Raw genomic sequence first — 15,539 nt, forward strand, 5'->3', positions numbered from 1 at the left:
GGGGATGGGGATGGGGAAGCAGCCTGGGGGGCTTCCTGGAGGAGGTGGCAGTGCCAGAGCTGCATATCAAGGTGTGAACAGAAACATCCGAAGGGCTGCCAGGCAGGGGGCACAGTCCAGGCAGAGACCTGAGGGCTAGAGGCCAGGGGACGGGGAGGAGGGCAGGCAGGGGAGGGATGTGGGTGCAGGGGAGGGGTAATGGGGTTGGAGCGCTATTTCTCGTAGGAGGGGTAGGCAGGGCAGGAGTTCCCTGGTAGAAGCATGAGCAATGAACTGGGTGGGGGGGTGGCCAGAGGGGAGGTCCGAGGCGGGGAAGAGGTGGGACTCACAGTCCAGCTCAAAGACGGGCAAGTGGCCACTAGAAGGAGGCATTAGCCACAGAGAGGGGACGACCTGCTCCAGGACACGTGTAGAGAAGAAATGAAGCTCATTGCTGGTGTTTTTTTTTTCTTTTTAATATTTTTTTGAGACAGAGTCTCGCTCTGTCACCCAGGCTGGAGTGCAGTGGTGTGATCTCGGCTCACTGCAAGCTCCGCCACCCGGGTTGAAGCGATTCTCCTGCCTCAGCCTCCGGAGTAGCTGGGACTACAGGCACAGACCACCACGCCCAGTTAATTTTTATATTTTTAGTACAGACAGGGTTTCACCACGTTGTCCAGGCTGGTCTCGAACTCCTGACCTCAGGTGGTCCACCCGCCTCAGCTTCCCAAAGTGCTGGGTTTACAGGCGTGAGCCTACTTACTTATTTACAGCTGGCCTACTTATTTATTTTTGAGACAGGGTCTCACTCTGTCGCCCAGTCTGTAGTGCAGTGGTGCAATCTTGGCTTACCGCAGCCTCAACCTCCTGGGCTCAAGTGATCCTCCCACCTCAGCCTCCCGAGTAGCTGGGACTACAGGTGCCACCACACCCAGCTATTTTCTTAGTTTTTGTAGAGACGGGGTCTGGCTGTGTTGCCCAGGTGGGTCCTCAGTGACTCTTTACATATGAACACCTCCAGGTCACTGTAATCTTAGCAATCTCCTGGCCTCCCAGAAGACCCCACGTCCCCCTCGGAGTCTACACCCGCTGTGACCATAACACCCCTACCTTCCCTGCCACAGTTAATGGTGAACCAGCTCTCAAAGCAACACTTTCTTTTTTTTTTTTTTTTTTTTTTTTTTTTTGAGACGGAGTCTCGCTCTGTCGCCCAGGCTGGAGTGCAGTGGCATGATCTCGGCTCACTGCAACCTCCGCCTCCTAGGTTCAAGCAATTCTCCTGCCTCAGTCTCCCGAGTAGCCGGGATTACAGGCAGGTACCACCACGCCAGGCTAATTTTGTATTTTTGGTAGAGACGGGGTTTGTCCATGTTGGTCAGGCTGGAATTCCCAACCTCAGGTGATACACCCGCCTCAGCCTCCCAAAGTGTTGGGATTACAGGCCTGAGCCACCGCGCCCGGCCAGACAACACTTTCTTAGCTAAGAACTTTATGAACGTGAATTTATTTCATCCTCTTGACAGGTTTATGTGATGGATCCTACGATTATAATTTTACAGAGGAGGAAACTGAGTCACGGAGAGTTTATTTCAGGGGCCTGAAGTTACACAGTGGCCAAATGGCCACACCAGAACCAGGATATGAACCCAGCGTCGGCACACTTAATAATGACTGCACGTGAGAATGTAGTATACAGCTGGTGCTCAATAAATGCAGCTGACGCCAAGTCTGATCTCCGTGCTGGAGGCCAAGCCCCTTCCAAAGATACGGCGTCCCCCACCCCTGAAATCCCCCCACCCCCGACTTGAAACAGGGCTGTGTAGACAGTAGGCGCTTACTAAGTGCACTGTGGTGATGTTAAGGCAGCAAGGTGGGAACCCTGCCAAAAGGGGAGGGGAGAAGGCAGGGTAGTGTGTGTCTGATTAAGCTGAGGACAGGGCAGACATGGACTGAGCGCCTGCTGTGTGCCAGGCTCTGGGAGGGCAGGGCCATTGTCTCCCTAACCCGAGAGCCATGGGGGTCCACTTGCCTGTGGTCACGTCAGGACTCCAGCCTGGCCCAGGCTCTGCGTGTCCCCGGGTGCCCTCGCCCCGCCTATTCCTGGAGACAGGCCCGTTGGTTCCCTTCCCCTCCCCTTGTCCTGGAGCCAGGAGGACGTTGGTTCTTGCGACAGCCTTGGCCCGGCCGTTGCAGCTGGAACATCGTGGGGGAGATGGGAAGAGGAACGGGGCCCGGAGCCCGGGGCTGGGTCCTGGGAATCCCTTTCCCGCAGCTGGGACTCCAGCTCCCCTGCCAGTTCCTCCAGGCGGAAGCCCTCAGGCTTGGTCCTCACTCCAGCCTCCCGGCCTGGACAGGAATTCTCTCTCCAGCAGCCCTGCCAGATGCCCGCCCAGCCCCTGCCTCAGGCGGGGAGGGCTTCAGGGAAGCTCACCAAGGCAGAAGGGCGGGAGAGATTGTCAGAGCCCCAGCTGGTGTCCAGGGACTGACCGTGAGCCTGGGTGAAAGTGAGTTCCCCGTTGGAGGCAACAGACGAGGAGAGGATGGAAGGCCTGGCCCCCAAGAATGAGCCCTGAGGTTCAGGGAGCGGCTGGAGTGAGCCGGCCCCAGATCTCCGTCCAGCTGCGGGTCCCAGAGGCCTGGGTTACACTCGCAGCTCCTGGGGGAGGCCCTTGACGTGCCTCAGTTCCCAAACAGGAACCCTGGGAAGGACCAGAGAAGTGCCTATTGCGCAGTGAGTGCCCGACACAGCTGCATGTGGCCGGTATCACAGGGCCCTGGGTAAACTGAGGCAGGCGACACAGCTGCATGTGGCCGGTATCACAGGGCCCTGGGTAAACTGAGGCAGGCGACACAGCTGCATGTGGCCGGTATCACAGGGCCCTGGGTAAACTGAGGCAGGCGACACAGCTGCATGTGGCCGTATCACAGGGCCCTGGGTAAACTGAGGCAGGTGACACAGCTGCATGTGGCCGGTATCACGGGGCCCTGGATAAACAGAGGCAGGCGACACAGCTGCATGTGGCCGGTATCACGGGGCCCTGGGTAAACTGAGGCAGGCGAGGCCACCCCCATCAAGTCCCTCAGGTCTAGGTTTGGCAGGTTTGGCAAAAACACAGCAACGCTCGGTTAAATCTGAATTTCGGGTAAGTATATCCTGGGCCTCATTTGGAAGAGACTTAGATTAAAAAAAAAACGTCGAGACCAGCCCGGCCAACACGGTGAAACCCCGTCTCTACTAAAAATACAAAAAATTAGCCAGGCGCAGTGGCTCACGCCTGTGATCCCAGCACTCTGGGAGGCTGAGGCAGGCGGATCACCCGAGGTCAGATGTTCAAGACCAGCCTGGCCGACAGGGCGAAACACTGTCTCTACTACAAATACAAAAATTAGCCGGGAGTGGTGGCAGGTGCCTGTAATCTCAGCTATTCAGGAGGCTGAGGCAGGAGAATCACTTGAACCTGGGAGGCGGAGGTTGCCGTGAGCCGGGATCACGCCACCGCACTCCAGCCTGGGCGATAGAGCAAGACTCTGTCTCCAAAAAAATAAATTAAAAAACCCACATTGATTATCTGACATTTGAATGCGATTGTGCATCCTGAATTTTGTCTGGAGGCCCCACCCGAGCCAATCCAGCGTCTTGTCCCCCTTCTCCCCCTTTTCATCAACGCCCTGTGCCAGGGGAGAGGAAGTGGAGGGCGCTGGCCGGCCGTGGGGCAATGCAACGGCCTCCCAGCACAGGGCTATAAGAGGAGCCGGGCGGGCACGGAGGGGCAGAGACCCCGGAGCCCCAGCCCCACCATGACCCTCGGCCGCCGACTCGCGTGTCTTTTCCTCGCCTGTGTCCTGCCGGCCTTGCTGCTGGGGGGTGAGTTTTTGAGTCCAACCTCCCGCTGCTCCCTCTGTCCCGGGTTCTGTTCCCACCTCTCCATAGAGGGCCCCACCAGTGTGGGTCCCTCATCCTCACAGGGGAGGTGCCAGCTGGGACAAGGAGACCAGAAGAGACTGAGGTTCTGAGCGGTGAAGCCACCACCAGGAGCCCAGAGTTGGGGTTTGAAAACCGGGGAGGGGGGGGGGGTCGCAGGTCGCCCTCTGGGTTCAAGTCCAGGTCTGTCTGTGCCTTGGAGGGGCACCGTGGGGAGGTCCCTTTGCCTCTCCGTGCCTCAGTTTCCTCATCTGAACAACAGGGGTGCGAACGGCCCCGATCCCGTGGGTTCCCGGTGGGGGATCCCGTGGGTTCCCGGTGGGGGATCCCGTGGGTTCCTGGTGGGGGATCCAGAGGCCCCGTGGCCGGGAGGGGACAGGCTCCTTGGCAGGCACTCAGCACCCGCACCCGGTGTGTCCCCAGGCACCGCGCTGGCCTCGGAGATTGTGGGGGGCCGGCGAGCGCGGCCCCACGCGTGGCCCTTCATGGTGTCCCTGCAGCTGCGCGGAGGCCACTTCTGCGGCGCCACCCTGATTGCGCCCAACTTCGTCATGTCGGCCGCGCACTGCGTGGCGAATGTGTGAGTAGCCGGGAGTGTGCGCGCCCGGCTCGGACCCCGCGTCCCGGTCTGTGAGGTGGGTGGGGGGAGGCCGGGGCCGGGGCTGCTGGCGGGGGGGGGTCCGTCCAGGGCCCGCGGGGCCCCTCGAGCACCTTCGCCCTCAGGCCCGTCGCCGGATGGGGACGACAAGGCGCGGCTGAGCCCCGACCCCCGGGGCCGCCCCTGAGCCCCGCCTCTCCCTCCCCGGCAGAAACGTCCGCGCGGTGCGGGTGGTCCTGGGAGCCCATAACCTCTCGCGGCGGGAGCCCACCCGGCAGGTGTTCGCCGTGCAGCGCATCTTCGAAAACGGCTACGACCCCGTAAACTTGCTCAACGACATCGTGATTCTCCAGGTGCCGCCGGGCGGGGCGGGGGGCGCAGGGGCGGAGGCCAGAGGCCTGGGGAGGGTGGAGGCTGCGACGGAGGGGCGCGTCGGGGCCGCTCGTGGGGACCTGGGGTGGCATCGTGGGCTGGGTGGTCCCCTCTCCGCGCCTCGGTCTGCACCTCTGTGAAACGGGAAAATACCCGCCATGGGCCGTTGAGGGGTTAAATGAGATCCTGCAGGGAGGCCCCGATCTGCTGTCAATCAACAAACTTACTGAGAAGGGAGGCCCCGATCTGTTGTCAATCAACAAACTTACTGAGAAGGGAGGCCCCGATCTGTTGTCAATCAACAAACTTACTGAGAAGGGAGGCCCCGATCTGCTGTCAATCAACAAACTTACTGAGAAGGGAGGCCCCGATCTGTTGTCAATCAACAAACTTACTGAGAAGGGAGGCCCCGATCTGCTGTCAATCAACAAACTTACTGAGAAGGGAGGCCCCGATCTGTTGTCAATCAACAAACTTACTGAGAAGGGAGGCCCCGATCTGCTGTCAATCAACAAACTTACTGAGAAGGGAGGCCCCGATCTGTTGTCAATCAACAAACTTACTGAGAAGGGAGGCCCCGATCTGCTGTCAATCAACAAACTTACTGAGATTCTTTGTGTCTCTCCATTCACCAGTCCTGTGGCCCAGGGCAGGGGCCGCCTCTGTCTTTGGGAAAAGGGGCAAAAGTCCCCACCTTTCCACCCCTGTCCGCGGCTTGCAGTTCTGGTTATTTCCTGGGCGCCGGGCCCCGTGGCTCAGGCCTGTCATCCCAGCACTTTGGGAGGCTGAGGCGGGTGGATCACGAGGTCAGGTGTTCGAGACCAGCCTGAGCAACATAGTGAAACCCCGTCTCTACTAAAATACAAAAAAAAAAAATTAGCCGAGTGTGGTTGTGGGTGCCTGTAATGCCAACTACTCAGGAGGCTGAGGAAGGAGAATCGCTTGAACCCCGGAGGCGGAGATTGCAGTGAGCTGAGATCACACCACTGCACTCCAGCCTGGGTCTCAAAAAAAAAAAAAAAGATTCCTCCCTGGGAAGGGTTAGAGGGAGAGTTTCCTTGTCACTAAGTTTTCTCATAGCTCTCACCCAGTGCAGTGGCGCGATCGCAGCTCACTACAGCCTCCATCTCCTGGGCTCAAGCCACCCTCTCAGCTTGGAATGGGGGGTAGCTGGAACCACAGGTGCCACCACGTGGGTCCACCACGTCTGGCTAATATATATATATACACACACACATACATATATTATAAATAATAAATATATATTTTATTTAAATAAAATATATAATATTTATAATTATTTTATAATTATAATAATATTTATATAATTATAAATATCATTTATAATTATAATATTTATTATTTTATAAAATAATAAATATAAAATATATAAAAATATTTTTATAAAATAATAAAAATATATATATACACACATATATATATATTTTTTGAGACAAGTCTCGCTCTGTCGCCCAGGCTGGAGCGCAGTGGCACAATCTCAGCTCACTGCAACCTCCGCCTCCCAGGTTCAAGCGATTCTCCTGCCTCAGCCTCCCAGGTAGCTGGGACTACAGGCGCCCGCCACCACGCCTGGCTAATTTTTGGTATTGTTAGTAGAGACGGGGTTTAACCATGTTAGCCAGGATGGTCTTGATCTCCTGACCTTTTGATTGGCCCACCTCAGCCTCCCAAAATGCTGGGATTATAGGCGTGAGCCACCGCACCTGGCAATTTTTTTTTATTATTTTTGTAGACATGGGGCTTTGCCACATTGCCCAGGCTGGTCTTGAATGCCTGGCCTCAAGTGATCCTCCTGCCTCGCCCTCCCAAAGTGCTGGGCTTACAAGCATGAGCCACCGCGCCCGGCTGTAGTTTTTTTGTTAACTGAGCACCTACTGCTTCCTGCACTCAAGCCACATCCAGGGACAACCTCCAACGCCCTGAGCCTTGGTGACGGCTCCCACTCTACAGATGGGGAAACCGAGGCTTGCCTTGGGGAGCAGAGTGTGGGGTGGGTATCCTGCCCTGCAGGATCCCAGAACCACAGTGGAACCTGAGATGGGGAAACTGAGGCCCGGAGAGGGGAGGGTCATCATCACTGCCCCGTGTGACGCGCTGACGATCTGTCCCCACCGCCACAGCTCAACGGGTCGGCCACCATCAACGCCAACGTGCAGGTGGCCCAGCTGCCGGCTCAGGGACGCCGCCTGGGCAACGGGGTGCAGTGCCTGGCCATGGGCTGGGGCCTTCTGGGCAGGAACCGTGGGATCGCCAGCGTCCTGCAGGAGCTCAACGTGACGGTGGTGACGTCCCTCTGCCGTCGCAGCAACGTCTGCACTCTCGTGAGGGGCCGGCAGGCCGGCGTCTGTTTCGTACGTGCCCTGGGTGTCCCTCTGCTCCCCACCCGCTCCCAGCCCGGACTGCAGCAACAGGCACCGTGGCTAGACCCTAGGAGGGACTTCCCAACCCTGACAGGCGGCGGGCAGGTGGGCAGGGCCTCGCAGTCCAGCTTCCCCACCTTGTCTGCCTCCACAGGGGGACTCCGGCAGCCCCTTGGTCTGCAACGGGCTAATCCACGGAATTGCCTCCTTCGTCCGGGGAGGCTGCGCCTCAGGGCTCTACCCCGATGCCTTTGCCCCGGTGGCACAGTTTGTAAACTGGATCGACTCTATCATCCAACGCTCCGAGGACAACCCCTGTCCCCACCCCCGGGACCCGGACCCGGCCAGCAGGACCCACTGAGAAGGGCTGCCCGGGTCACCTCAGCTGCCCACACCCACACTCTCCAGCATCTGGCACAATAAACATTCTCTGTTTTGTAGAATGTGTTTGATGCTCCTTGGCTGTGTGATTGGGTGTTGAAAATGGTCAGTAGGTCGGGCGTGGTGGCTCACACCTGTAATCCCAGCACTTTGGGAGGTTGAGGCAGGCGGATCACTTGAGCTCAGGAGTTCAAGACCAGCCTGGGCAACATGGCAAAACCCCCGCTCCATTAAAAAAAAATAAATAAATAAAATAAAATAAAATAAAATGGTCCAAGCCTGGCCCAGTGGCTTACGCCTGCAATCCCAGCACTTTGGGAGGCCGAGGCTGGCAGATCACCTGAGGTCGGGAGTTCAAGACTAGTCTGCCAACGTGGTGAAACCCCATCTCTACTATAAATACAAAAAAAATTAGCTTGGCGTCGTGGCGCGTGGGAGGCTGAGGCAGGAGAATCGCTTGAACCTGCGAGGCGAAGGCTGTAGTGAGCCGAGATTACGCCACTGCACTCCAGCCTGGGCAACACAGAGAGACTCCGTCTCAAAAAAAAAAAAAAAAAAAAAAAATACCGGTGCGGTGGCTCGTGCCTGTAATCCCAGCTCTTTGGGAGGCCCAGGCAGGCGGATCATCTGAGGTCTAAAGTTCGAGACCAGCCTGACCAACATGGAGAAACCCCATATCTACTAAAAATACAAAATTAGCCGGGCGTGGTGGTGCATGCCTGTAATCCCAGCTACTCGGGAAGCCTGAGGCAGGAGAATCACCTGAATTCTGGAAGGTGGAGGTTGCAGTGAGCCAAGATCGCTCCATTGCACTCCAGCCTGGGCAACAAGAGCGAAACTCCATCTCAAAAATAAATAAATAAATAAATAAATAAATAAATAAATAAATAAATAAATATAAATAATAATGATAATAATAATAATAAACAACAAACTAGAATCCAGAGTCTCTTGGGCATCTCTGGAGTAAGCCACCACCAGGGGGCAGCACAGCCAGGGCAATGGAGCAGAAGTGACTTCCCCACATTGTGTTTTTTTCTTTTTTGTTTTTAGATGGAGTCTCGCTCTGTCGCCCAGGCTGGAGTGCAGTGGCGCGATCTCGGCTCACTGCAAGCTCCGCCTCCCGGGTTCACGCCATTCTCCTGCCTCAGCCTCCCGAGTAGCTGGGACTACAGGCGCCCGCCACCACGCCCGGCTCATTTTTTGTATTTTTAGTAGAGACGGGGTTTCACCGTGTTAGCCAGGATGGTCTCGATCTCCTGAACTCGTGATCCGCCCGCCTTGACCTCCCAAAGTGCTGGGATTACAGGCGTAGCCACCACGCCCAGCCCTGTTGTTATATCATTTTCTATTCTCTGTGCGTATGAAATAATCCACAGGGGGCCAGGCATGGTGGCTCATGCCTGTAATCCCAGCACTTTGGGAGGCCGAGGTGGGCGGATCACCTGAGGTCAGAGGTTCGAGACCAGCCTGGCCAACATGGCAAAACCCTGTCTCTACTAAAAATACAAAAAGTTAGCCCAGTGTGGTTGCTCATGCGTGTAATCCCAGCTACTCGGGAAGCTGAGGCAGTAGAATCGCTTGAACCCGGGAGGTGGAGGTCGCAGTGAGCCGAGATTGTGCCACTGCACTCCAGCCTGGACGACAGAGCAAGACTCTGTCGCAAAAAAAAAAAAAAAGCAAGAAAGAAAGAAAAAAAGAAGGAAAGAGAAAGAAAGAAAGAAAAAGAAAGGGAAAGAAAGAGAAAAACAGAGAAAGGAAGGAAGGAAATGAGGCTAGGCGTGGTGGCTCACACCTGTAATCTCAGCACTTTGGGAGGCCGAGGCAGGCGGATCACGAGGTCGGGAGATCGAGACCATCCTGGCTAACACGGTGAAACCCATCTCTACTAAAAATACAAAAAATTATCCGGGCGTGGTGGCGGACGCCTGTAGTCCCAGCTACTCCGGAGGCTGAGGCAGGAGAATGGTGTGAACCCGGGAGGCGGAGCTTGCAGTGAGCTGAGATCGCGCCACTGCACTCCAGCCTGGGCGACAGAGCGAGACTCCGTCTCAAAAAAAAAAAAAAAAAGGAAAGAAAAGAAAGAAATGATCCATGGTGAAGAGAAAAGCCGGGGGAACCTCGTGTGCTGCTCCCCCTGGGGACAATGTCTGAGGTCCTCCCCACAAGGTATCCCCATCCTTCTGGTCCCCGCACCATGGATTAATGCAACGTGAATCCCGCTGGCCCCTGTGGGGCAGATGTGAAAAATGGAGCTACACCATGAGCAGGCCTGCAGTCCCAGCACTTCTGGAGGCTGAGGTGGGAGGATCACTTGAGCCCCGGAGGTCGAGGAGGCTGCAGTGAGCTATGATTGCACCGCTGCACTCGAGCCTGGATGAAAGAGCAAGACCCTGTCTGTAATAAAACAAAAACAACACACACAAATCCCCACCTCACAAAAGGCCCTATGGCCCAGATTCTGAGAAGTATTTTATTTTAATTTTTTTGTAGAGATGGGGTCTCGCCGTCTTCCCCAAGCTGGCCTTGAATTCCTGGGCTCAAGAGATGCTCCTATCTGGGTCTCTCAATGTGCCGGGATGGTAGGTGGGAGCCACTGTGCCCGGCCAGCCCTGACTCTGTTCATCAGAACCTGCCCTCAGTGAACAGTTTGGGAGGGGGCGTGTGATCCAGGCTCCACCAACCCAAGGCACCCTTGAGACTTGGCTGGAGTGAGGAAGAATTTTAGGAGGGGCCCACTGAGCCACTGGGTTGAGTGTGGGGTCCCTGGAAACACACCAGGGGAGGCTGGTGAGGAAAGAAGCCATCAGAGAAGAAAGGAGAAGCCAGAAGCAGACACTGGACATTGTTCAGGCACCTGGATCAAGCCACACCTGAAGGCGGACATCCCTGAACTTTCCATATAACTTTCATGATTCAGGCTCCACCCAGTTTGTCTGGGTTTTCCTGTCCCTTGTAGCCAGTCTTCCCAGCTGCCTCTGCCTTGGCCTTTCCAACTTTCTATTCGTCAGGGTGTCAAGCCCCAGAGGCCACAGGGACAGAGACAAAGGTGTCAAGTGACCTTCCTACCCCCAACAGACCTTCTCTCTAATATAGAGGAGGAAAAGAAGGGAGGGTAGCAGGACAAGAAAGTGGGTTGTTTACACGCTGTGGCCTCCAGCTAGGATTGTGAAACACCCTGGGGGACTCTGGGTGTGGTGAAGTTGGGGCCGGGGTGGGTGCAGCCCCCCTCTCTGCCTCCTGCCCATCTGAGGGACTGCCCCCCACCAGGGCCAGCAGGCTGTCAGGCTCACAGAGGCCCGAGGGTCTCCCAGCGACTTGTCGACTCTGGTGTGAGTCTGGCAGGAGGTAACCCAGTCCCGGGGAGGGCGGAGGCTGGGCGGGCGAGTTCCCCTTTCCCCAGCTGGGCCGCTGCCCACCCGGGGAGCGGCCCGCCCCCTCCACCCTCATAAAAGCACCCCCAGGGCCCTGCCTGGGTCAGTGTCTCAGCCACAGCGGCTTCACCATGCACAGCTGGGAGCGCCTGGCAGTTCTGGTCCTCCTAGGAGCGGCCGCCTGCGGTGAGGAGGCCTGGGCCTGGGGTGAGGGACAGGGCTGTGTAGGGGCGTGGTGCTCCCTTCCGTCACACGGACGGTCCTCCAGCCCCTCCAGGTGGGCAGGAAGGGGGTGTCTCTCCTCACTAATGGAAGGCTCTGAACGCTGAAAAATTCTAGAAAATTCAGATTGGAAATCGGAACTTTCTGGAGTCAGCTTTTCTTGCAGACAGAGTCTGAACGTCTGCGTGGAAAACTTCATCTGCGTGGCTGACTGGGCTGGCCCAGGCACTGGCTGGGTCAGCCCCATTTCTCTTATGTCCAACTGGAAGGCACTGCGCCCAGGGTAGGGCGCTGGGATCTGCCCCCGGTCCCCAGCCCACTGTGGGTTCTGTACTCTGGGGCATTCCCGCCCGAGGGTATCTGAGTTTGCAACGCTGAGGGGCCCCAAGACGGAAACGGGATTCTTTTTTTTCTTTCTTTTTTTTTTTGATAGGGAGTCTCGCTCTGTCGTCCAGGCTGGAGTGCAGTGGTGCGATCTCGGCTCACTGCAAACTCCGACTCCCGGGTTCAAGCGATTCTCCTGCCTCAGCCTTCCGAATAGCTGAGATTATAGGCCACGCCGACTAAATTTTGTATTTTTTTTTAAAGTAGAGACGGGGTTTCACCATATTGGCCAGGCTGGTCTTGAACTCCTGACCTCATGATCTGCACCCCCCCCTCCCCCCCCGCCCCCGCGCGGCTTCACAAAGTGCTGGGATTACAGGCGTGAGCCACCGCGCCCAGAGATGGGATTCTTGCGGGGAGCGGCCTGGGGGGTGAGAGCTGGGATCCCGTCAGGCAGCCTCGCCCGGGGGAGGAGTCCACCCCGCGGCCCTCACGCGCCCGCCCACCCACAGCGGCGCCGCCCCGTGGTCGGATCCTGGGCGGCAGAGAGGCCGAGGCGCACGCGCGGCCCTACATGGCGTCGGTGCAGCTGAACGGCGCGCACCTGTGCGGCGGCGTCCTGGTGGCGGAGCAGTGGGTGCTGAGCGCGGCGCACTGCCTGGAGGACGCGTGAGTGCCCGCGCCGCGCGGGGGAAGAGCCCGGGTGCGGTGGGGGGAGTCGGCTGGCACCGACCGCGGACTCCGTCCGGTCCCCAGGGCCGACGGGAAGGTGCAGGTTCTCCTGGGCGCGCACTCCCTGTCGCAGCCGGAGCCCTCCAAGCGCCTGTACGACGTGCTCCGCGCAGTGCCCCACCCGGACAGCCAGCCCGACACCATCGACCACGACCTCCTGCTGCTACAGGTCGGCCCCGTGTAGCGCAGTCCCTCCTGCGGCGCTGGGATCCCCGGCCCACCCTCACTCCACCCCGCCTACACCGCGCCCCGGGTCCAGCCTCGACCTCTCCTGCTGCATGGGGACCCCGCCCCACAACCCCCACACCCTCACCCCGGGTCTAGCCTCGACCTCTCTTGCTGCGCTCGGAGCCCCCCCACCCTCTGCACCCTCACCCCGGGTCCAGCCTCGAACTCTCCTGCTGCATGGGGACCCCGCCCCACAACCCCCACACCCTCACCCCGGGTCTAGCCTCGACCTCTCTTGCTGCGCTCGGAGCCCCCCCACCCCCTGCACCCTCACCCCGGGTCCAGCCTCGACCTCTCCTGCTGCATGGGGACCCCGCCCTACAACCCCCGCACCCTCACCCCGGGTCTAGCCTCGACCTCTGCGGCTGCACTGGGAGCCCCCCACCCCCCGCTCCCCCTGCATCCCCATCCCGGTTCCAGCCTCGACCTTTGCAGCTGCACTGGTGAGCCTCGCACCCACCCCATCCCCACCTGCACCCCCACCCAGGGTCTAGCCTAAATCTCTCCTGCTGCACTGAGACCCACGCCCCTGCCCTGATGCCCACCTCCCCCGTCCCGTCTCCCCGAGCCTAGCGGCATTCTCCCCAGCCTCGCACCCCCGCACCCCAACCCTGACGTCCGCCTCCACCCTCAGCTGTCGGAGAAGGCCACACTGGGCCCTGCTGTGCGCCCCCTGCCCTGGCAGCGCGTGGACCGCGACGTGGCACCGGGAACTCTCTGCGACGTGGCCGGCTGGGGCATAGTCAACCACGCGGGCCGCCGCCCGGACAGCCTGCAGCACGTGCTCTTGCCAGTGCTGGACCGCGCCACCTGCAACCGGCGCACGCACCACGACGGCGCCATCACCGAGCGCTTGATGTGCGCGGAGAGCAATCGCCGGGACAGCTGCAAGGTGAGCCTTCAGGCCTGGGAGGAGACGCGGGGCCTGCAGGCCCCGGGAAGGGCCTGCAGAGGGAGCGCGAAGCGGGGGGCAAGTAGGAACAGGGCCCAGGGAAGGGGCGGGGCGCGTAGGGGGCGGGAACTGGAAGATGGGCGGAGCATGAGGGTGGCCCGTGGGCGGGGCCTGTATGAGGGGGCGGGGCATGTGGGTAGGGTGGGGCCTTGGGGGCGAGGCCTGGAGAAGGTACGGGGCCTCTGGAGAGGGTGGGGCTGAAGAAGGGTCAGGGCGGGCAGAAAGGGCAGGAACGGGTGGGATGTGGAAGGACCTGTGGGTTAGGGTGGGAATAGGGGGCGGGGCTCGAGGAGGGGGCGGAGTCCAGTAATAGCGGGACTGCAAGGGGGCGAGGCCAGGAAGAGGGTTGGGGCATGAGGGGCAGGGCATGGAGGAAGGGGCGGTACCTGTGGGGAGGGTGGGGCTGGAGAAGGGTCAGGGCGGGCAAAAGGGCAGGTGGCAGAGAAAGGGTGGGAGGTATAGGGGGCGGGCACGTGGAGGAAGGGGCGGGGCATGGGGACGGGGCGGGGCAGGTGGAAGGGGCGGGAACCTCTGAAGGGGCAGGGCTGGTGCGGAGCGGGATCCCTGCTGTGGCAGGGAAGAGAAGGGGTCCTGAGCAGGGCAGAGGTTTAAGACCAGCCGAGGCTTGCATGGTAGCCGGGGCCAAGATTGGGTGGGGCTTAAGGGAGGGGCGTGGCCTGAGGTGAGTGGGGACTGAGCAGAGCAGGTGGCCACTGAGACGCGTTAGGGCAGAAGTGGGATCCACGGCAAGTCAAAGCTTGGAAGAGCAGGAATGAGGTGTGGGACCCCCATACTGGAAAGGGCTTGGAGCGGGGTGGGGTCGGGGGAACACGTGGTGAGGTTGAGGCCAGAGGGGGTGTGGCCAGGAGCTGGGGGCGGGCCTAGAGGGGCGTGGCTTGTGGTTGTGGCCTAGGCGATAGGCGTGGCGCGGGGCTATTGACTAGTGAAGACCAAATTAACACGGGAGGGATGAGCGAGCATTGTGGGGCGGGAGCGGCAGCCAGGTGAGGGGGTCTAACACGTGAGGCCGGGGTGGGCGCGGGCCGCCCCTCACGGCCCCGTCCTGTTCCGGCAGGGTGACTCCGGGGGCCCGCTGGTGTGCGGGGGCGTGCTCGAGGGCGTGGTCACCTCGGGCTCGCGCGTTTGCGGCAACCGCAAGAAGCCCGGGATCTACACCCGCGTGGCGAGCTATGCGGCCTGGATCGACAGCGTCCTGGCCTAGGGTGCCGGGGCCTGAAGGTCAGGGTCACCCAAGCAACAAAGTCCCGAGCAATGAAGTCATCCACTCCTGCATCTGGTTGGTCTTTATTGAGCACCTACTATATGCAGAAGGGGAGGCCGAGGTGGGAGGATCATTGGATCTCAGGAGTTCGAGATCAGCATGGGCCACGTAGCGCGACTCCATCTCTACAAATAAATAAAAAATTAGCTGGGCAATTGGCGGGCATGGAGGTGGGTGCTTGTAGTTCCAGCTACTCAGGAGGCTGAGGTGGGAGGATGACTTGAACGCAGGAGGCTGAGGCTGCAGTGAGTTGTGATTGCACCACTGCCCTCCAGCCTGGGCAACAGAGTGAAACCTTGTCTCTCTCTACAAAAAAAAAAAAAAAATTCTGCGTGGTGGCTCACGCCTGTAATCCCAGCACTTTGGGAGGCCGAGGCGGGCGGATCATTTGAGGTCAGGAGTTCCTGATCAGCCTGACCAACATGGTGAAACCCCGTGTCTACTAAAAATACAAAAAAAAATTAGCTGAGCGTGGTGGTGGGCACCTGTAGCCCCAGCTACTCAGGAGGCTGAGGCAGGAGGATAGCTTGAACCCGGGAGGCGGAGGTTGCAGTGAGCTGAGATCGCACCACTGTACTCCGACCTGGGTGACAGAGCGAGACTCTGTCTCAAAACAAAAACAGAAACATTAAAAAAAGAGGAACGCGGGAAGCTACAGATAAAAGCGCAAGAACGGAGAATACAGCGAAGTTCCGGGTCCAGCGCTTCCGTGGGGCTGACGCGGCCACACGGCGGCGCCCTTGCCACACACACACACACACACGCGCGAAGGCCCGCCAGGCATGGGTGTCC

General features: G+C 59.0%; 2 protein-coding genes across 3 annotated transcripts, besides 1 other annotated feature; both read left to right on the plus strand.

Annotated features, from left to right (window-relative positions):
• Nucleotides 2,274-2,986: an enhancer, noted in NCBI's record as "H3K4me1 hESC enhancer chr19:850825-851537 (GRCh37/hg19 assembly coordinates)". NCBI's record gives its function as "activates a minimal SCP1, AML or CMV promoter by ChIP-STARR-seq in naive H9 embryonic stem cells {active_cell/tissue: H9 hESC(naive)}" and the evidence as "EXISTENCE:reporter gene assay evidence [ECO:0000049][PMID:30033119]".
• ELANE (elastase, neutrophil expressed) lies at nucleotides 3,752-7,692 on the plus strand. The gene is made up of 5 exons (NM_001972.4): nucleotides 3,752-3,844; nucleotides 4,325-4,481; nucleotides 4,711-4,852; nucleotides 7,013-7,243; nucleotides 7,407-7,692. Exons 1-5 carry the CDS (start codon nucleotides 3,778-3,780, stop codon nucleotides 7,611-7,613), a joined length of 804 nt encoding a protein of 267 aa, NP_001963.1. The 5' UTR covers nucleotides 3,752-3,777; the 3' UTR covers nucleotides 7,614-7,692.
• On the plus strand, nucleotides 11,113-15,090 carry CFD (complement factor D). Of its 2 annotated transcripts, none has more exons than NM_001317335.2 (5): nucleotides 11,113-11,214; nucleotides 12,066-12,222; nucleotides 12,310-12,454; nucleotides 13,148-13,405; nucleotides 14,541-15,090. In NM_001317335.2, exons 1-5 carry the CDS (start codon nucleotides 11,139-11,141, stop codon nucleotides 14,685-14,687), a joined length of 783 nt encoding a protein of 260 aa, NP_001304264.1. In that variant the 5' UTR covers nucleotides 11,113-11,138; the 3' UTR covers nucleotides 14,688-15,090. The 2 variants fall into 2 exon arrangements, with proteins under 2 accessions (NP_001304264.1, NP_001919.2); NM_001928.4 differs by having other exon boundaries at nucleotides 11,113-11,193.

The sequence above is a fragment of the Homo sapiens genome, chromosome 19 (assembly GCF_000001405.40).
Source record: "Homo sapiens chromosome 19, GRCh38.p14 Primary Assembly".
Classification (NCBI taxonomy): Eukaryota; Metazoa; Chordata; class Mammalia; order Primates; family Hominidae; genus Homo; species Homo sapiens.

Bases quoted from the DNA above. Each gene is read 5' to 3' on its own strand.
- ELANE (NM_001972.4), top strand. From the start codon at position 3,778: ATGACCCTCGGCCGCCGACTCGCGTGTCTTTTCCTCGCCTGTGTCCTG. The intron at 4,482-4,710 runs GTGAGTAGCCGG...CCTCCCCGGCAG, and splicing joins GCGCACTGCGTGGCGAATGT to AAACGTCCGCGCGGTGCGGG. The intron at 7,244-7,406 runs GTACGTGCCCTG...CTGCCTCCACAG, and splicing joins GGCAGGCCGGCGTCTGTTTC to GGGGACTCCGGCAGCCCCTT.
- CFD (NM_001317335.2), top strand. From the start codon at position 11,139: ATGCACAGCTGGGAGCGCCTGGCAGTTCTGGTCCTCCTAGGAGCGGCC. The intron at 12,455-13,147 runs GTCGGCCCCGTG...CTCCACCCTCAG, and splicing joins ACGACCTCCTGCTGCTACAG to CTGTCGGAGAAGGCCACACT. The intron at 13,406-14,540 runs GTGAGCCTTCAG...CTGTTCCGGCAG, and splicing joins ATCGCCGGGACAGCTGCAAG to GGTGACTCCGGGGGCCCGCT.